Source organism: Homo sapiens, chromosome 12 (genome assembly GCF_000001405.40).
Source record: "Homo sapiens chromosome 12, GRCh38.p14 Primary Assembly".
NCBI lineage: Eukaryota > Metazoa > Chordata > Mammalia > Primates > Hominidae > Homo > Homo sapiens.
In genome coordinates, this window is record NC_000012.12 from 97,522,108 (window position 1) to 97,544,858 (window position 22,751).

Consider the following 22,751-nt stretch of genomic DNA (forward strand, 5'->3'; position numbering starts at 1 on the left):
ATGCTTTCTTGTGATTTATAAGTCCCTAAAAGTTCCAACTTTGTTAAAACATGTCTATTTGCTCCATTGATATAACTCCCAGGTAAGTGCATGTTACTATATGAGAATTCATTTAAAAGATGTTAAATTGCTCCATGTGCATTTCCTTGTATTCATCAATTCTGACCTATATTCATTCTTAACTTACTTTCTTATTACTTCCTAATAGTAAATAACTGGGTGAGTAAATTTACCTCCATGATTCTTCCTAAATGTGAAAAGTGATTCTCTTACATTACTCTTCAGAAACAGTAGGAGAGAAAACACATAGGCCGTGTGGGTTGAGATATAGTTTCTAGCTATGAACTGCCATTAAATGCCCTTATGCTCTCTGATCATGCCTTTTGCTTTATGGTCACATGTGGCCTCACTTCTTGACCATCTCCTATACCTATAAAATTTCAGAGACTCAACCTTGGGTTCCAGAAATTGCCCAAGGCCGTGTTACTTTTAAACTCAGAAGTTTGAACAACCCATTAATGGGTCATGAAATCAACTTAGTAGATCATAACCTAGGTTAAAAAGGTAATAAAAAGATTAGAAATACAAATGCATTTCATGTTAGTAAGGGTATTATTTCATGAATATATTTTATCAAATATATTTCAAGTGTGTGTGTGGTACTTGGTTGTATGGTAAATATTTTCTTACCATAAATTTCAGTCAAAAAAGCCTGAAAAAACAAAACATCGAGTGAGATCATATAGCCTCTAATAAGCTTTTGCGTGGATTATGGGCTTTAGGATTTTGAGGATTATTTTACCATATCCAAATTTGATTATTTTTTCATGGGTTATCCTCCAGAAAATCAAGGGCATTAGCTCACAGCAATAGGCAAATAATAATGGAAACTTAGTAAATGCTTCCAGAATTGTTTGAAGCTAGGCTGTATCAGCTTCCTGAAGGTAAAATATTGTTACTGATTGAACCATTTAGTTTCAGGTAGTCGTATAAGAAAGAGACACGAGCATTTAGTTGCACAAACGAAGCATACAGTTCACAGAAAAAGGATTTTGTTAATACCTTATTTGGTTGTTGGGCCAAGAAGAGTGAATATAAACTATGACTGTATACTTGTGTTATGACAAGAAAGGAAATAATAATTATCGCTCTTTTAAAATATCTGAAGATTAAAACCTTTGCCTTTCATTTAAAAACAGCTTTGTAAATGTGACCATTGTTTTTATTGCTAATAATATGTGGGGAATAGGGAGAGATTAGTCAAGGGGGACGAAGTTATAGTTAGATAGGAGGAATAAGTTCAAGTGTTCTGTTTGGTTAACAACCTTGTGTTGTATATTTCAAAATAGCTAGAAGAGAGGATTTTGAATGTTCTCACCTCAAAGAAATGACAGAGGTATGAGGTGATGGATATGCTAAATACTAATTTGATTATTATACAATGTATACATGTATTAAAACATCACACTGTACTCCATGATAGTTATTACATGTGAATTAAAACAACAATTAAAAAGAATGATACAATTTTTTTTTCTTGCCTCTGTATCCACCAGAAGTTAGCATAGGGAGGAAATTCTAATTGTGCTACTATCGCACAGCTTGCATCTTATCTCATGACTGAGAAATATTTAAGTGCTGTTCAGCAAGGTAAGCATGAGAAAGAGAAGATAAGAATTCACATAACTGGCCGGGCGCAGTGGCTCATGCCTGCAATCCCAGCACTTTGGGAGGTCGAGGCGGGCGGATCACGAGGTCAGGAGATCCAGACCATCCTGGTTAACACGGTGAAACCCCATCTCTACTAAAAATACAAAAATTAGCCGGGCATGGTGGTGCGTGCCTGTAGTCCCAGCTACTTGGGAGACTGAAGCGGGAGAATGGCGTGACCCCGGGAGGCGGAGCTTGCAGTGAGCCGAGATCGCGCCACTGCAGTCCAGCCTGGGCAACAGAGTGAGACTCTGTCTCAAAAAAAAAAAAAAAAAAAAAAAAAAAATCACATAACTGTATGGTTGAATATCCATTGTGTTCTTTACAAAGTATGTCATTCTTTCTGTAACATCCGTGGTGGAATATAACCTTAGTATTACACAACCACCATCAGCAGCAGCAGCATTTGAGAGCTTAGCAGAAATGTAGAATGTCGGGCTCCATCTCGGACCTACTGAATCAAAATCTGCATTTTAGCAAGATCTCCAGGTGATATACAGGATCATTAAAGTTAGAGAAGTCCTGGTATACAGGATAAGTCTTACCAATTGCTGTATAGACCTATGTTCACTTCATGGATAACATTTGCTCTAGAAAAGAAAAATTAACCAGTAGAGAGGGCCAGCAACTGTTCATACCCTAGAGCTGTGATTGGCCACCTAATAGTGTCTAAAATTATGATGCTGACAATGACACTGCTGCTGCTGTGGATAACACCCATTATCAGGTGTTTCCAAGTGTTAGCCATTTTGTCTAATATGTCAACTAATCTGTTTAACTATCATCTACCTCCTGAGTTTTATGCTCTTTTACAGACAAGACAATTGAGGCAACAGGTTGCCTAGGATCACCACCCCCTTGTAAATACAAGCATTCTGATGGCTAGCCTCAGGTATGCCCAAGGTAGAGTCTGTGACTGGGAGCTGAACTTTTTAAAAGTAAGACAGACTATTTGTTTCAAATAGGAAGAAACTATGACACTTGAAAGCTTCCTATGAAGTTGTCAATTGAAATTTGTTTAGATAATATTTGTAATGAGCAATGTGTTCTCCAATTTGCATATTTGAAAAGATAAGGAAAGCCTTCTGTTTTAAGCTCATATCACATGTTCAGGCTATCAGATCACAATTTATTGTGTATTATGTGCCATGTGGCATCTTAAGCCCCATTAGAGGCCCTTAGCCCTGGGCATTCTACTGGCATCTAAAGGATGCCTTGAGAGTGAGCTGCTTTTCTGAGGACAAATATTTGTACATTTGTAACATGGGGAAAGGACTCCTTACTTGAAATGGCTTTAGAATTGTAGAGAACATAGAAATGCGGTTTGTCTCTTGTGTGCTAAATTAAATCCTTTTAAAGGAAGACATCCTTTGAGAAAGGAGATGCAGGAATACCAACATTTTGATGTTTATTGGGTGACAAAAATCAACTCAATCAACAAATGGTTTTGAAAATAACATTGAAATGTGAATTGGAAGCAAAAGGTAGTGAGGTCATGTTATGGTGCAGAAAAACAATGCTGTGTGTACTGCTGATCAACTAGGTAGGCATTAGCGGGTGGATCATGGCCACTAGCATGGGAAAGGGAAGAGTTTTTATAAATGAACTAGAATAGACTGCATATTCAAGTAGGAATAATGACTCTTTTTAAAAATTATTACATTTGTTCCTGGTTTAAAAGGAGAGCTACATATATAACATAAATTTATACAACCTCAAAGGATATACTGTGAAGATTAGTTTCTTCTCCTCTTCTGTCCCCAGACCCAAGTTTCCCTACTGACACAACCAGTGTGTGCAGCTCCTTGTATATTTTTCAGAAATATCCTCCAAATACCTCATAAAGAGTTATGAAATATCTTCATAAATAAACAGTATATGCAAAAGCCTTGTTAAACAAAAGGGTAATATACCAGGGGCCCCTAATCCCCTGGCCACAAACCAGAGCACAGGTCTGTAACCTGTTAGGAACCAGGCTGCACAGCAGGAAGTGTGTGGCCTGCAAGTGAGAGAAGCTTCATCTGTATTTACAGCCAGTCAAAATCACTTGCATTACAACCTGAGCTTCGCCTCCTGTCAGATCAGTGGTGGCGTTAGATTCTCATAGCAGTGCGAACCCTGTTGTGAACTGTGCATGCGAGTGATCTGGGTTGTGCACTCCTTATGAGAATCTAATGCCTGATGATCTGTCACTGTCCCCATCACCCTCAGATGGGTCCATCTAGTTGCAGGAAAACAAGCTCAGGGCTCCCACTGATTCTACATTATGGTGAGTTGTATAATTATTTCATTATATATTATGATGTAATAATAATAGATATAAAGTGCACAATAAATGTAATGCGCTTGAATCATCCTGAAACCATCCCCCACCCCACTTCCGGTCCATGGAAAAATTATCATCTGTGCAGCTGGTCCCTGGTGCCAAAAATGTTGGAGACAGCTATAATATACAATACCCATTGTTCTGCACCATTCTTCTTTTCCTTAAAATGTATCATAGAAGTACTTTCATATCGGTACTCCTACTTATACTTTATTCATTTTAATGGCTGCATGGCATTCTACAGTATGAATATAACATACTTTATTTAACCAGTTACCTTTGGTGACTTTTTAGATTAGTCTCAGTCTTTTGCTGTCATAAATAGTGCTGCAACTATGATCCTTGTCCATGTATTATCAAGCATATGTGACTATATAGATGTCCAGGTCTTCACATTCAAAGTCCTGATTTATTTTTACTAAAACTCTCTAAGCAATGGGGAAAAAATAACCAAGTAGCATAGGAGGCAGGGTAATAATAATAATTGAAAATAATATTTGCTATGTGGTAAGTAATTTATAAGTATACATTTAATTCTTAAAAATCTAGAGGAAGCTATTTATTACTATTATTATTGTTGTTGTTATTACTGATTTGAGTGAGAAAGCTAGGATAGGAATTCACCCAAGATGCTTGTCTTTGGATCCCTTGCTCTTGTTTGCTACACTGTACTGTTTCTTGGTGATTCTGTTGCTACTTTGGCAATGAGAGTGCATTTATTGGATATCTACCATGTGCTAAGCAGATGACATGTGTTAGTCACAGTCTTCATAATAGCACCATGAGATGTTGTTGTTGTTGTTGTTGAACAGATTCTTGGTAAGGTTTACTAACTTGCCCAAAGTCCCAGAGCTAGTAAGCAAGGAGCTAGGAATGGCCTGGAAGCAGGATGTCTGACTCTTGTGACTCACGACAGAGAAGGGAGTTTCAGGTATTGATTCTACATCTAACAGGCTGGAAGGCAGAAATAAAACTAATATACATATGAGGCTTAATTAAACGTATTGAAGTGATAAGAGGGATAGGAAGGGCTGTCACAAGGACCAACGGAAGACAGTTGGTGGGGCACAAAGATAAAAAGCATCTGTAGCAGAGAGGAGCCGTGTGGATCCAGAATGCACTCTTCTCTATGGAGAATGTTTCCAAATCTAGATTGCTTTGTTCTCACCAACTGCTTCAACCGTTAAAACATTCCACACCTGTACATTGCATGTATACCTTCAACAACCCATTGTCATTAGAATGGCAGCAATGAGAATGGAACATGTGGTGCTTGCATGTCCTAGAGAAAGAACAGCCTTAGGTGACTGCTCCGAGTTGGACTTTGTGGCCACAGGGAGCAGAAATCAGCAAGTGCCCCACATTAGAAAATAAAAGTAAGAGTGCTAAGAAAAGTAAGAGTGCTGAGATTCTTCAAGGCAATGCCAATTTCTCCAGGTCAGCTTCTCCTATTTTAATCTGTTTCCAGCAGTTCTGCATCTTTGTAGGTATGCCATAAGCAGCCATAAAAAAGGCAAAATTGTACGATCTACAGGTCTAGTAAAATTATAAGTCATGTAGGTCTTATAGAAATTATAATTTTAACTGAAGTCCTCCATATCTATTGTTTTATTATTATTGCTGTTACTATTTTATAAATCAATTTTACTATGTAGACCATGTTTCTGTGTTTGGTTTCTTAGGTTTTGAATACTGAGTTTTCCTGTTTCAGAGTACCTCATTTAATGCAGTGAAGTTCTGGTAATATTTCACAGAAAAAAAATAAAAGGTGTAGCACAAATATGTCAGAATTATTTATATGATGGTTATAATAAAAAATAATAACTAAGATATATAATGAGTTTTCCTGTAGGTCAGAAAATATGCCGAGTTTTATATACATTAACTGGTTTAATATTAAGCACCTGTGAGGTAAGTATTACAATTATTATTGTTGTTCCCATTTTACAGATGGAGTCTTTGATTCTACATTTTGAGATTAACAATTAGAATGGCATTAAAGCAAACTTTTGTAAAAGAAGAAAATGCTTTCTAATTCTACAAAACATATTTTCGATTTTAACACTTCTCCATCCAGTCTTTCTTCAAATATACTCAGTAATCAATATATGTACAATTTTGTATTCTGCTTTTTAAATTCAGTATAGTCATAAAAAGTTGGTTTTATCAGTCTTTCTTATTACCATATAATGACTGCCTATGATTAATTGCCAAATTTATTTCTTGATTTCCTTCTTTGGAGACATTGTTTCCATTCTTTCTTATAGATACTATTGCAATGAAAAAACATTGTGTACATAGCATTATTTTATTCTCTGGGCATTTCCTAGGAAACTGTCCCCTCTTCCACTCAAAGAGTAAAGATCTTTCTGACTCATTCTAACTCCCTGAATCAAAGTCATTTTCATAGGAACAAATAGTGAATATTATTAATGCTTATTTTAAAATCTTAAGAGAAATGTCTACTTTGAACTCTTTAGGAATAAACTCTTTTCAGTATTGTAAAGATATAAGTTTGAATACATATGTCATTAATATATGGGTAATCCATATAAAGCCTAAAGAGTGAATTTTTGTATCATTTAATTTTAAAAGTAAGTGAGTGGGCTGAGGAGGATGATATATGCAAGGTAAGTATTTATTCTTCATCGACATGTATTTCTTGAGAAACGGCTATGTGCCAGGCTGTACAGCAGTTGCCAAGGCTATGATAATGGATGGGATAGAAACAGCTTATTTCCAAATAGGGCATCACTGAAAGTCATATCACAGATTCTTTGTCCTTGACGTTGTGCCACAACACACTCTTGTCCTGTTATTTCTGATTTTTTTGTTCTTTTGCTTTTATGGAATCTGACTCATTTCTTACTATCAGCCCAAGACACAAAGGATAAAGAGTATCTTACTCTCAGCAAGATATCTATATCTATATAGATATAGATATATAATTTCTAAGAATTTCTGAAATCATATTTTCTCCCTCCCATGCCAGTTCTGGTGGGACTTTAGAAACCTTTTTGTCTTCCCAGGGTGAAAACACCTTGCTCTGTAGTTTCAGGAATCCCTAAATCATCTCATCCTCATTTTTATATCTTAGGTTGCATCTAAATACATTTATCAGTTTATCTTTGCAGCACTTTAAGCTAAACAGAGATTTTGGGCCCTCCATGGCAGGAGTGTTCTCATGTAAAAATAAAATGTATTTTAGGATATGTGTCATGAATTATTAATATAGTGCACCACAACTGCAGTTTTCACAGAGAGAGATAAAACATTTTGTGTTGTGTTCGGCAGCCAAATATACACAATTCTTAGGTAAAATTAACTTCAGAATCACCTTTTAACTTTTCCCTAAATTTCCCCATCCCAGAAAGACCTACTAATTTATTGATAAATATAACTTTATTACTTTATGATATAGAATTCTCTTTCAAATTCTGCTGCGCAAACTTTATTTTGTTGATACTCAGACATTTTCGTGGTAATTCTTTGGTAAAAATTGCATCAAGATAACGGCTTACCATGTAGATCAAGCCCTTTGCTCCTCCATTGGATGCTACGCTCTGAAAAATATTGTTACATCATTTTGTAGGAATGCTTCTACGCATTACCTAATATATATTGAGATTTCAGTAAATTCATGATGCAAGTGTTGTGTATATCAATCGATCAATAGATACACACTAATATATGATTTCAGTAGACAGACTTTTTGAAGGAAAAATTTGTATTAAAATGTAATTGTATCTTCCCCCAGCTTAAATTTGTATGTTATTTTTAGCTGACATGCCTAAATTAGTTTTCTAATGTTATTATATAAAAATATGATTTGAACTTTTAGCAAAGATAAGTTTCAGGAATTGGAATTTTTAGAGTATTCGTCTTCATGAAAAAGGGATAGATGGAGATAATTTCACAATGTCAGAATACTGATTCCACAGGTTGACTTGGGCTACCTCGTTGTAAAGCTGGCTCTGCTGGGTAACAGTTGACTCATAGGCATCACCAACATAGCACAGAGGTAGAGAAGAAAATATTAATACAAGGGCATCTGAAAAAGGAGCTGTGATCAATTTTCTAAAACTTTCCTTAAATTTCTAATATCCTGTAGCCTTAACATTGGGATTGCAGTCCTCCCTGTTGCAACTTAGCACATACCCTACTGTCTGAACTCAAAACCCTAGGAACTACTGTCTGAGATCTGAATGTATTCTTGGTTCCAAATCAATCTTGTCACTCCTCGGAAAGCAATGCAAGATAATAAGTAGTATTCACCTGATTGCTTTCCTGCTCCGAGACAGCTGGTGACGCATGTCTTCCTGATAACCAGGAGTTTCAGATCTAAGGCAGGGATAAAGGGAAACTGGAAGCTCTCGGAATCTAAATGTGACAGTCGATGGCTGAGGAGAGGGTCAGAAGGAATAGAATCTGTGACACGTATGAGAAAGGAACAAAATTTATCTGCTCTGGTTGCAATGATTAGATGTCTCTTTGTCTGGCTTTCCTTGCAGTGGGTGACTGATCGTACCCGCCAGCTGGCTAATGTCATAATTAACAAAGTTGCTACTACATCTGCAAAGTTTAATCGAAAAATTTGCCAGTGATATGATGGCCTTGTCACAGAGATCACAAGGGACACGGAGTTGACTTTTGCTCAAGGTGGAACGACAGAGCTGTGTAGGCAAGATGAGAAATTGCGAACTTGTTCGGCCAAAGGTATGTTTCTTTCATAATTCCACATCCTAGGTTTTCTTATTAAGATTTTTGTTTGATGGTTCATGGGTTCTTTTTTTGTTTCTTGACCGAAATGATTCAGAAAAAGATCCGTATGCTTTTCGGGCATTTATAGCATATTCTCTGAAAGCTTTTTTTTTTTTTTCCTAAATCTGTAAATTCATAATATAACTAAACAGCTTTTGATGATGAAAATGGAATATAAAGCAATATTTTCTCTGTTGAGTCTAACTAATCTTTATCAGTTTTCAGAATAAGTATTTGGTAATAAATATCAATGGGACATTTATATTGTGTAGCGTTGGATTTATTTTGCTCAACAATGTAAAAGCCGTTGCTCTGCTATTTTCTATTGTGTCAACTAGTTCTAGGAAAGGAAAAAAAAGCAAAGTGTAGTTATAGAATATGTAGAGGTTCTATTTTCGTTTCAAGACATGCTCAAAGGAAAGCTAAGGTCTTGACTTAAGTCGCACAACATAATTGGGGCTTTTTAAAACAACATTTATAAAGACGACTATCTCTTGAAATTATGTTCTATTTTCCAGGGCCAGTCTGGTCATAGACTATTTACGTGTATTTTCTTTTTACTGTGATTTGCTTTGCTTGATTGAATATTTAAGATTTGAGGAGTTTCCCAAATGATAGTCTTCCTGTATTGCTAATTAATGAGCGTGAATATTGATGAGGAAGGGCATGTGCCTGTGTGTATGTGGCTGTGCACTTAATCTAAGTACAAAGAGGGAGGAAGAGGTCTCAAAAAATATGCAGAAGGCAAGTTTGGGTTATTTATGCTGTGTCACACCACCATTACAATATCAAGGCAATCAATTTGCAATATAATCGGGGACGTATATTAAGGTTCTTTCCCTCCATGGTTATCTGGGCCACTATATCATGGCAAAATGCAATAATTTGTCTTTTGCCCATTACTATTGTCTTTTGTGTTAATAGCAGTTTTTAAATGTTATGAAATTACATTTTGGAAACAAATTTTGCACAGCATATCTATTTTAATAAGCTCATTTAAGCTTTCTCATGGTTTTATTTCTAATCATGGGAGACGAGACATTATCAATATATTCATTTTAAAATTTGACAATCACATTTTATATTCTCAAATAAAAATGAATCATTTTATGGCATTATGAATTTTAAAGCCTTTCAGTGTCCAGATAATTTTAGACACTGTTTATCAAAATTTTGGTGGAAATTTGACTTAACAGATTTCTAGTCTTCACTAAAATTTAATTTCATCAGTAAGAAAAACTGAAAGTGGAGATTTAAATCATTATTTTATTATATTCTGGACACCATGTTTACAGGAGAATGTTTTTCTTTTAATAACTATCTTTTTGTTTCTCTTTTGTTTCCTTAACTTTGATTCCCCACCCCTAGCCCAATGTCTGGCACATAATAGGCATTCAGTAGGTATTTATCAAATGAATGAATCAATGAATCTAAATATTTCCTCTGTTATTCAAAGGTGGTTAACATTTGCTTCCTCCAAATCAGTAAGTTTTGTATGCAGTAAACATTGTGAATAGAAATAAGTAGGTGAATAGAAATAAGTAGATGAATAGAAATAAGTAGATGACAATTACAGACAATAGGGAGGATTAACTTCCTAAAGTCATATGTTGTTATTTTAACCTAAACCACCATAATATTTTGTGTAATTGAGATTTGGTATTGTCAGAACTCTGTTGGAGTATTGAAGGTCTGTGAGGATTAGAAAGTGCCCAGAAAGTGGTTCACAGCTGATGTCCCGTTTTTTTTTTTTTTTTTTTTTTTTAAACAGGATTATCTCCTGAGATGTGTAGAAATGAACTCTTGTCAGAGTTTCAAAGGAATTAACGTTTTTTGGTAAAATGTGCTAATGTAAAGAGTGAGAAGATTAGTGATACATAATGAAAGCAATGCATTCTTTCACATGGAAATGGGAATATAATAAATGTCCTGCAGGTGATTGGGGCTGTAGCAATTTTATTGAAGATTAAAGTTTGATTGACCTTTGTTAGGGTGATTAACCCTTCTGAAATTAAAAGCCAGAGCTGAATTATTCTGCTCAATTTAAATGCAAACATCGAGCAGGTCGTATGTCATTCAAATAATAATAAGAAGAAAATCTTCCTATTTTAATTTTCATTTTTGCACTTCTGAGTGGTATGCTGCTTTAGAAGGACCATAGCTCTCGCAAAAGCATTCTGGTGGCAGAGAATATACAATAACGTTACAGATAATTGGGAGCATATAGGAAGAGTCCCAAGCACTACTGCCTGCATTCGAAACATCAAAACCACCATCCCAACAAAAGCACGGAGCATGAAGCCAATCTCTGTACACTGAAAATGCATGCTCCCAATAGAAAAACAACCTAGGGATGTCCTGAAGGGGTTAGGAATAAATAACAATGACATCTCTATTCTAGTTCAGTGCCAACCACCGAAATTGCATATCATATCCATGTTAAATCTACATGATGTCTCCTGGAAATGCGTGCTTTTTGGTACAGTTGCTTATGAAGCAGTTTCTAAAAGTTGATTATTTCTGATGTCTGGAATTTCATTCTCCATGATCTCTGGCAGTTTCTGAATATATTCAGTATTTTCATTAAGTTCAAAAATGCTGTAGGAGAAGCTAACGAATTATTTGCAATGCCATTTAATGGTTTAGTTTTATTTTTCTCTGTTAAATTTTCTAAGCCTTGGTGAAAAGTTGTGTATTCACATTTCTTCAAAAAACTGTTTCCATTTTTCATATCATGTTAATTTTGTTTAGTTCTAAGTCAGTGAATATTTTTAGTCTTAGGTCCCACCACATAGTGAATGTGTCTGCCTTTTATGTATCTGTGAACTATTAAAATGATAATAAAGGTTCTCTTCCTTCCATATGTAATTTATTTCTCTTTTTTCATCAAAGAATTCACTCTGAATCTGTCAAGGTAGAAAAGTCCAAGGCATTATAGTGTAAAAATTAAGAAGCCTGAGGTGCTATAGTTTATTTTTGCACAAGCTTTTCATGTATTCTTTTAACATCCTTCTGAAAGGTAGGCTTCTACTCCAAGCCTGTGAAGAAAGTCAAAGATGAAAAACTTGTGATAGAGTGACTGAGCTTATTCAGCTGGCAAAGTCACTCTGGCATCCTCCAGAGAGTTGGATAATACCTTGAAGCATAGATTAATAATATGTTTAACTAAGATCTGTTTGCTGTAAGGATAATTTCCTAATTCTTAATTGTGGGACAAGTGTTCAACCATAAATTGTAAACAAATACGTTGTTCTGTACCTTGTCTGATAAAGTGTAGATTATCAGCTTTAGCTTCAGTACATTGAGTTGTCAAACTTTAAAAAATTCAGTTGTTTCATGATACTTGTTTTCTTATCAAAGATAATTTTAACTAAAAGATAAACATGACCACTAACTTATATCTCTAAAGTAAGCAATATTAATTCTTTGGACATAATTTAATTATCTTCTCTAATTTAGATTAATCTTATTTTACCTCTTAACAGAACTAAATGAAAATAATCTTCAGTATTAAAATTGGTTATAAATACAACATTCTCTAAAGCACAAAAAGCTAATGTGCTGAACTACTGATAACATCCTTCTCTACATTGTCATTAATTATTAGCAGTCTTTTTATTAGAGAAAATCATGGGTTTGGAAGGTGAAATTCATATTGTCTCAGTGTAGAAAAAAGTGTTGGTGAAAGAGCAAAGGAAAATAAGATTATACTTTGCTAAATCCCAGATCCAATAATTTATTTTGCTTCAGTGTGCTTCGAAGACATTTTATTTCTTTATGTTGCCTTTGTTTTCTATCAATCGGTTTCCACCTAATCCACCCAGTCCCAGCCCTGACATTTTCTCTTATAGCTGTGAAATAACATTCTTTGCTATGAATAAGCCAAGATTAATCCATTTGATATTTTATAGACTGCATATTTTAGCTGGAGCGTTTCTGTTTAAAAAGCAGACTGTTTTAAAAAGTGACCAATGGTGTTGTTTTATTTGTTGTGCATTGTTTATGAGTCAGCAATTTAATTTAATTTTACAGAAATTTAGAGTAGATGTACTATAAGCGATTTTATTCTTCTGGACTAAGGAGAGATAGCAAGTGGCAGACTCAAGGATTTTCTAGGTTTTTTTAAAAAAATTATTCATAGTAAAAAAGTAGTCACATGAATTTTTCAAGATTATCCTCTTTAACAGACAATAATTCTAAAATAAAATTATTTGTTTAATAATGGTCAGTGGAATTACTTCTTGTAATTTGTTTAATAAAATCATAAAAAATGCTCTAGAAACAATAAGTGTCCCAATGTTAACTTTCCAACTTAATTGGGAAGATTAGTTTTCTAGGACTAGTTTTCAAGTGAGTTGGAAGGTGACCTAATATAGCGTAGTGGTCTGTGGCCTATTTGATACAATTTACGCTATTCGTATTAAAATTATCATACTATCTCTGTGTATTACTTTGGAATCAGAGAACTTCATAAAAAGATACTTTTAACTCAAATGCCTTCAGCATTAGCATTTCTGGAGCCATCATTGACTAACCTTTATTCAGTTTCAACAAGCCTTTATTAAGCACCTACTATGTTTCAGGTACTCCCCCCAATCCAGTGAGGTGAGCCTATGAGCCATGTTGTATAAACAAGAAACTCACACTCAGATTGGCAAAGGTTTTACCTGAAGTCAGATAGCTAGTCAGTGGCACAGCCTGGTTTAGGAGCTGGTGAAGCCTTTCCTTCACCAAAGCTGTCTTTGGGATAATCATAGCATTCCACTTTGCTAAAACTTGGAGACTATGAGAACAGGATTCTTGCAAGATGAATTTAAACCATTTCCACAGAAAAAGGAATTTACTAAAACTCAGGAACTACGATGAGGTAATTAATTCTGTACTGATTCACTCTAGAGGAAGTATGAGAAGAGGGAGTTTAGAGTGCTTTGAGTAATACACTGGGTCACCCATGCAATGAACATTACTCAGTGGGCTTATTTCATAGACAGAAGACATTTTCCTCCCCAAATATTAATAGTTTAGTTCATTGAAAACCAATCATTAGGCTTTTTAAAAAATTGTCTTTAAAATGCTTGTGTTTACCTATCTTTCTTTTAAAATTCATAAATAATTATGTTTAACAGAATTTTAAAGTCAGAGGCATCTGTCCTACCTCATATGGTTTCTTTGGTGTGAGCAGTTTGACAACCTGTTGATAAATGTGTCTCTGTATTTTATAATTCCTGCTCTTGAAACTGAGTATAAGTCTGTTAGATGTCTATGCTGTCAGGAATTGCCCAATTGTTTATGACAAATGCATTTAAAGGAATATGTGGAAAAAATATTTTTGATAAATATCAAAAAATAAATATAGAAGTACAGTATTGCTGCAATGTGAGGAAAAAACATGCAAAATAATTGAAAAAAAAACTTTTTTTCTCCTTTTCTTATGAGAATAAAAGAATTAACTTGAGTTATGCAAAAAGTAAACTTCTGCAAAATTAGACCAGGTGGTTCCAAAAATTTGGGATTGACAGATTCATTTTCACTTGGTGATTTCATCAACCTTCTCATTGTTGTCTCTTTTGGTTTGTAAACTCTCTGAAGTTGACACAGAGAAGTGTGGTCAGTCTAAATCCATCTCTATATTTATCTGCAGGGCCTAGAAGAGATGCTGATATGTGGTAGAGAGTGAGGAAGTGTTTGTCAACTTGTACTGAAAGTGACTATTACCATTAAGATAAAAGTAGGGACACTGAGCCCAGTACTTCATTATAAAGGCCTGGTGTTTACACTAAGAAATAAACCTAAGCTTCAAAGTCTGAAGGAGGAAAAAGAAGTAGAAATTTGTGAGTGTGTATATTATACACAAATAATCTCCATCCTAGATTATTCTTATATCTACTTCAGATGCTTTTTAAAATGATCCAGGTTTCTTTACTTTAGCTTTAACTTATGCCCATAAATCTCCCCTTAGCCAGAACTTGTTGGTCACTAGTTAGCCACTTATTACTTCACAACAATGAAACTAGTTTTTCTGAACCGATTAAAATATTTAATCAAAATGATCAGTTTGGTTTATGTTTGGAGAGAGAGAGAGGAAAAACAACTTAGAGTCTTCATTTTGAAAATGAATGAAAAAGCAACTAAAGGGCATTGTGTAGAATCAGAGAAGTTGAAGAATATTTGCAGGAAAATAAATTGCTATTGTGATTCTAATTACAAATGAAAGTGTTTTGTAGCAGAGAAAATTAAAGTGTGTAATAAAATGACACATACTGAGAGAATCTTCCCTAAGAGATGCTAGACAAGATGGAAGATCAAGTTTGACCAAAATCCTTTCTAATTATATAAATACTTTAGAATTCATTAACCATTTGAGTCCTGCTTGATGATTAAACCCTTAGGCAGATGTGAATCAACTTTACTATGTGGAAACATTGAGGAAAACATTTATAAAAAATATGATCCAATTTCTGAAAATACAGGCCAATTAAAGACTGAGATTTAATTTAGGAATTTTACTCTGTCTGCATGATGTATATATTAATGATGATTTCTCTTGTCTCATTCTTTATCTTCACGAGCAAAAGGAGATTTTTACTCATTGACATATTATTGAAGAATCTCGCTTTTTTGCAAAATTACACATTTTTTTGCATAAATGTGCCTAATTACCTGAATTCAGTTTTGATTAGCAGTGTTAATTGATGCAGCTGTGGATGGTATCTGTTTACCCAAATTACCATGTGCAAACAGCAATATGTCTGGAAGCGCATATGCTAAACTGAAAATACTAATTAGGTGAGACAGATTGTTATTCAAGTCACATCATGGAGCTTTCTAATGAGAGCCTGGATGTGTCAGGGTTTCATGATATTCAGACAGAAATGTCTATATTACATATGATTTCTAAATTTAATTCATAAGAACAGATGGGATGTCAGCCAGGGTTCTTCTGCCTTATTCTGGTATTAATGTGAATATTTTACTCAACTGGAGATATATTCATGTGTTTTTTTGTGGGAAACTCATTATGTGCTTTGACAATATGCCAGCCCTGTACATCCAGACACATCTATTTCTTGATCAATATATTTGAAGATTATATCCACCTACCATCCCAAAGATGAAGATGGATAAGCCACCTTGCAAGCTTAATCACATCAGCTGGTTAATTTAATCAAATCAAATAATAGAAAGGTTAGTTAAACAGGCAGCTTAACTGAGTAATATTTTATGGATGTTTTCCTTTTGCACCCCCCAAAAATAATAATAAAGGTTTGATCCTAGGATTGTTAAGAATCAGTGAGCAATTCACAGGACTGAAAGGTGAATTCTCATTGCCTTCAGGTTGTTTTGAATCTTTAATCATTTAAAAATGGATAGCAAAACAGTGCTTATTTTCTAGTGCCCGGTTTTAAAGTGTTAACAGCCTTTTTTGTCTTTGGTTTCCATTACCTTTGTCCTAATGCATGACCTGCTTTGCTTAAGGTTTTTCTTGAAAGAAAGCGTTAATCTTTACTTTCTGCTGTGGCACTCAGAACTCATTAATGGCAGTGTAAGTTAGAGGTATCTGAAGCTTAGAGTACAAATCCTGCACATCAGGTAGTGAAGAAATAATGGACCCATCTTTCCTTTCCCAAGAGGCTAAATAACTGTGCTTAATGCATAATAAGTCTCCTCTTCCCAAAGCCTGTGAAAATAAGGCCTCTTTACTCAACCTTAAGAGTTTAAGATCCCTATTAGATATTTTAAGATGCCACGAGCTAAATGGGGGTGATTTTCATGATGCAAATTTGAACATAATTATAGTTTGGCACATTTAATTTAGGTTTAAGTGAGAATCATAATTACCAAAAATTGAATTATTTCAATTATGCTAATTTCTATCCCCAAAGTTTTGTGTAATTTGGGTTCACTAAAACAGGTTTAGATCCTGCAGAATTACAATGGAGTCTCATACTAAAAATAAAAAATTTGTGAAAATGATTCACAAATGATTCACAGCTAGTTACATCTTAGGTACAGAAATGTTGACATACTGTTAACTGGCCCAGGAAAACCGGAGGGGCTGGGAATGGCTTAAATCAAAAATAGAAAAATGGGCATTATGAGTTAACTGTTTGGGCCATTTGATTGCCATTTTCTACATCAATACTAATTTTAACATATTATTGCTATTTGCTGTCTAATCAATGAAGCTAATTTCAGTATTTTAAAAATAAAATTTGTGTGCATTACAGTTATGATTAATAGTACACTGTCAGAAAAAAGAATACTGTAGTCACCTTCAGAATTATCTTGCCTTTGATTATCACTTAAAAGCATTAGGCCTTTCAAAGGTGCTTAATGTAAAATTCCTTAATTCTTGGAGATGAAGAATTGGAAAGTTTCATTTCCCTGTGGCTGAAGGTAGCTTGCTTGGAAAATACTCCATGGACAGTGCAAGAGAGTTCTTTGTTACAGAACCAAAGTGTATGTGTATGTAACTGTGTGTGCACATACATTCATAAAATCGCCTAACCATTGAATTCAGACACTAGATTTGGCCAACCAGTTTGATTTGTCAGGTATGTTTATTTCTGAGTTCACTAAGGCAACTGCTAAATAAACCCAAGTCTGCTTTTACAGCACAGACAAAGGAAGAAAATTCCTTCCTAAAAGTACAGCAATCTATTCTAAACAAAACGATGCCTGGGCACTTTTTGCTATCATGAGATTATCTAAATATTTTAGTAAAGTTTTGTTTTGTTTTAACCTTCATGTGGAGATGCGAACGTGTTTTGTGTAAGACTCTTGACACACATGAGCATTTCTACATTTTAACTTTAAAATGGGAAAACAGGTCAGTGATGTCAAATCGGAACCAGGGTTATGAAATTTTATCAGACATTTCAATGAATTGTCTTTAGGCAAATCACCCAACCTCAGTGTGCAAATTAGTTAATTTTAAGAATAAATATAGCTATCTTTCTGACTTATTAAGGATTTATCATTTGTGCCCAAGGTTCAACAGATCTGTAAATGAAGTGTGTGAATCTTGTCTTTGAACTCTAATTGGCATGTGAGGGAGGCAGGTCTGACTGAGTTAAAGGCTGAAGGACTTAATCCTTTGAAGAAATTTTGATTTAGTTTTATTACCTCTAAGTATTGCTAATGTATTCTAAAATTAATTTGACTCTGACTGCTTGGCGTATCCTGATTTCCTTTCCAAAGGATAGATTGTAGGCGCATTGAGGGAAATCTATTTCTTTGTTAACCTTCTGTCTAACCACAGTCACAGCTTTACCACTGAGTAGTGTTGTAGTGGTGTGCACACAGTAGGGACACTTGAAGTCTAAGAGAGTGAACAGTGGTTACCATGAATAAAAACTATGACCATTAACTCCATTTGTAACTGTCAATCACCTATATTTCACGATCAGTGTGTTACCTGGCCCAGGGGCCATAAGCCCCTGAAGACATTTTAAAAAATTTAAAGCTCCTGTTTTTGAAAAAGATGTATATTTTTGGTTGGTTTATTGTCTGACCGAAGGAACTCTATAACATTTCACAAAGAATGGAATTCATTTGAACTTGTTCCCTGAAAAGTATAGCACATGGATTAATACACACTTGGATTAATGCAAATTTCAGACAAATGGGACTTGAATTGCTAAGCAAAGCTTGTAGACGGGCAGACCTAAATTCAAATTTTGCCTTTGTCATTTGCTAGCAATGTGACTAGGAGGCATTTTCCTAGATCTTTTGGGCCCTAGTTTACCCATTTGGAAAGAAAAGAAAATAATACCTATTTATAGTGGTGTTGTGAATGAACTATATAATGTATATAAATGCCTTAACCCAATGCCTAACGTCAAGTTTATACTCAGTAAATAATAACTATAATTACTGCATAAAGTACAGTAGCTCTGTGTTAGAAACCAACAGAGGCAATTAGAGAAGGTTTTAAAATCTGGCACTCATTAATTTACTTAAACTTCTAAGCAGTAAAATTTCCAATCACTGTGAGTGTATCCATAGATTAGATAGATAAATAGATAGAGAGATAGATAGATATAGATATAGATATAGATATAGATATAGATATAGATAGATACACAAGTCCTTTTTGTCCCAGGTGTATATATATATATATATGTGTGTTTTGTACACATATATCATTTATGTAAGGACAAAATTAAATATCTGGCTTACTGGAAGTATATAGTACATACACTTCTGGCTTTCTTATTTTCTAACAATTTCTAACAGTTATACAACACTTCATAGCTCAAAAATAACTCTATACACATTACCATATTTGATTTTCACAGCAGCAAGACAAGACAAGTAATATTGCATTCATTTTCTATAAAGTACACGGAGATGTTAAGTGATTTACCTGGTATTACTTCAGTGAAAACAGGAAAGATGAAGGTAGGAGAATATACTTGGAATCCTTTTCCGGACTGTTTGGAAAAACAAGGTAATAATACTGTTTTTCCACGGAATATTGGCAAACAAAAATGTCTTAAGTGAATAATACTACATTTAACTATAGGGCACAGAAATGAGTATATTAAGAAATCCAGGTTTCAAAAGGTGGATAGAATTAGTTTCTCCTCGGTAAACATTTATTAAGATACCCTGACTCACTGCCTTCCTTCAACAGTTAAACATTCTCATTTCCACTCTTATTAATAGGGCTTGTATGAAAATGGAGTGGGCGAGTTAGAAAAGCTGGAACCAGGAACTTAGATCTCCCTCAGGCTCAGACAAAAGCTCAGAGATCTAAATATGGTAAAATGTCTAGAGATTTCTTAAGAAATTAGCACATGGAGGCAGATTTAAAAAAAAAGAAAAAGAAAAAGAAAAAGAAGATTCTTCCTTTCCTTTTTATAAGTTTTATATAGGAAACAGAAAATGACCCAAGGAAGCCATTGGATTAAAGTATTTTACTGATTTAACAATTATCTTAAAAATACCTTCTGTATGTCAGCTATTGAAAAGGCACTATAGGAACATAAAACGTGCAAGGCACAATGTCTTCCAGGATCCTAAATAACTATCCTTATTATTATAATAATTACTATATGCTTATTGCAACAATGATATCATTAACAGATAAATTATTTGTCTTTTAAATTCTGTGGATATTAAGAAACACATTCATTCATGTATTCCTTCAACAAGCATTTATTCCTTTTTGCACTGGGTAGTGGAATATGAAAGTGGGCTTGGAAGTCAGGTAGCCTGAGTTTAGATCCTTGGTTCTCCACTAATTAGAGGTGGGGACAATTATATGAATGTTAGCTTCCATGTCTATAAAATTGAGTTGATCATAAGATTGATATGAGAATTATGATTTGCAAGGTACTGCCCCTTGTGCATGGCATACACAAGAACTACTCTATTATCATTATTATGCTTCTCCACTCAAGGGATATACAAGTAGTTGGGGAGTGAAATAAACACACCTGAAGCAACTAGATAATTTTAATATGGCATGGAAATCATTGTAATCTCACTTGGCCTGGACTCTACAGGTGCTGATGAATTTAGAAACAGGAAAGGACTTCTCGAAAAAGAGAAAATAATACCAAAAATGTTTTCTGTACAGTGTGGTGTCTAGATCTAGCCATGTCTTTGTTCAATATATGCAGCCTGATGAACACCTCCACTGTTAATTTAGAAACCTACAACATCTGTGCAATTTAAATAGGACCAGAGCCCAAACCCCAAAACACATAGAATATGATTTCCTATTCAGTGTGGTTGAATAGGACCACATCCATCTCTGGGGCTTTGATTCATGAACTACACGGCCCTAATTGACATGGGGTTGTTGCCTTTTCAGATAGCACGCATGGCAGAGTTTCGGTGTATTTGGACTTGTTCAGGGTTCTTACATCCAGAAAGTCCAAATTAGATTTTTGTCATTAGCTTGTCAAGCTTCTCTTAAGTCCACTTAATGAGGTCTGCAGTGGAATGTCTTTTATGTTCTGTGGCCTTTATGCTTAGTCTCAGCTACTCTCGACTGTGGCTGAGAAGTTAATGAAGTTACCACAGTGTTCACTTGAGGTCTGCTGCTTTTGAAAACACACCTCGTATGTGTTTGGGTATTTAAATTCTGTTTTCTAGCTTTTAGGGTTTATATCCTCGTGGTGCATTCAAGTGCTATGGAAATAAGACCAGATGGATGTGACAACCAGCCATTCGGGAAATTACATACACATTACATTTTAAAAAACCAGTGTACATATGTCTATCTGGATGTGCTCATATGCTGGATTATTTTTGTTGCATCCAAATGGTTGGGATTTCAGTGAAGCAGTTACTTAGAATGTCAGCACGAGCATTCCTTCCAGGAGGAAAGCAGGGCCCGCACCAAGCCTTTTTGTCAAAAACAGTCGAATGTGGGGACAGAGTAAAGGCCATTCTGCATTTCTCTACCTCCTTTTAGTTTTTTCCACAGTTCTCATCACTGCAAGACTTTATACCATAGAGTTGTTGGTTGTCTATCATCCCTCTAGAAAGTAAATGCTATAAGGACTGGCGATTTTTCTGCCCTGTTTAATACTTTAGTGTTTGGCACATAATGAGCGCTCTATATATGATAATGAATACATTCACAATCACTGGGATAATGAAATCATATTTAATTCCCTTCCCTTTGTGCTGAAGCTGGCATAATATGGAGGTTTTCTTTTGTCTCTTAAATGATGTGCGTATGACTATGAATAATGCTCCTGCTGCTGTCTAACATTTATATAATGTTTACTATATGCCAGACACTGTTCTCAGTACTTTACATCTAATTCTGACAAACCTTTGAGGTGGGGGCTGCTATTCTCCCTTTTTTATGAATGGAAAATGGAAGCACAAATCCTACCTGAAAGAGCCAGGATTCAAACTCACCGGTATGATCTTCTACATCTCATGTTGTTAAAATGTGGCTTCTGGGGTTTGAAAATAAGTCATCTCAGGAATGTATCCATCATTTTGGTAAGCAAAGAAAGCTATCCTATAGCCATGATCTCTTAGTTTTGTGCTATTCTTAAATATGCAATTCAGTTTAGCCCAGTGGTGCAAAGATAATTATTCCCATTTTACTCTAAGAAGTAGGAATCTGTAGAGGCATTCACTTTTCCTATTTTGTATTATATCTCTTCAGTGATTTGCCTACCTCCTTGCCCTTCTATCAAAAAGAAAGAAGAGGAGACTAGAAGACTAATGCTATAAATAAACACTCCAGGTTTTGATGCTAGTTAGAATATTGCATTAACAAGCCCAAAGCATATTGTCAAACTAAATGGAAAAATTGGTATTGGGGGTTTTATCTTGGCTTACTCATGGTTACTCAAGTTCATTCTTACTAAAACGTATTGTGATGGAATAATCAGATTTAGATTTGAAGTTAAGACATATTATATAACTTTTAGTAACAATTGTGCCTGCCCAGTTGGGTTTGGTTAGCCTGATAGTAAAAATTAGTTTGTAATCCTCAGCAGAGAACCCACATGATAGTGTAGGCTTTGTCTTAGGTTAGTGCCAGAATTGTAAATTCCTTAAAAACTGGTGAAAATCAACTCTAGACACATAGGTAATCAGAGAGTGGACAGTACGTTCAATGTAATGGCTAAGTCTTCAGAAGAATGGCACAATTTTCAGGGGTGTATTTGTGTACTGGGGGAATCGAGTTCCATAGCCAGAGATGGTACCATACCTTCGCTAGAATTGTAAATTATGTTCATTACCTATCAATTTCCTTGAAACCTTTCCTATTGTCCTGCCACACAGCAATATTATTTTATCAACTAATTTCTCTGCAATCTACTCCAATCAGTCCAGATGGTCAAATCAATTTTCTTGTATCTCTTTTTCTCCTGAATTAATCAGTCCAATGAAATCCCATTAAAAAGTCACATGACTTTTTGGAGGTTTATATAATCCTGTTGATTCCTGCTATATAATATGTATTTGTTAC

The 22,751-nt window shown here is 34.8% G+C and overlaps 1 long non-coding RNA gene across 52 annotated transcripts in view; it reads left to right on the forward strand.

Moving 5' to 3' along the window:
• The window catches only part of RMST (rhabdomyosarcoma 2 associated transcript), a 102,232-nt gene that overhangs the window by 59,304 nt on the left and 20,177 nt on the right, over positions 1–22,751 (forward strand). For 47 of the 52 annotated variants that reach the window (NR_186054.1, NR_186102.1, NR_186098.1 and 44 more), the window contains one exon: positions 8,548–8,752. This is a non-coding gene — a long non-coding RNA (rhabdomyosarcoma 2 associated transcript). Of the gene's footprint in view, positions 1–8,547; positions 8,753–10,568; positions 11,659–22,751 lie in introns of those variants that run through there. The other 5 variants (NR_186096.1, NR_186093.1, NR_024037.3 and 2 more) reach the window with 1 other exon arrangement.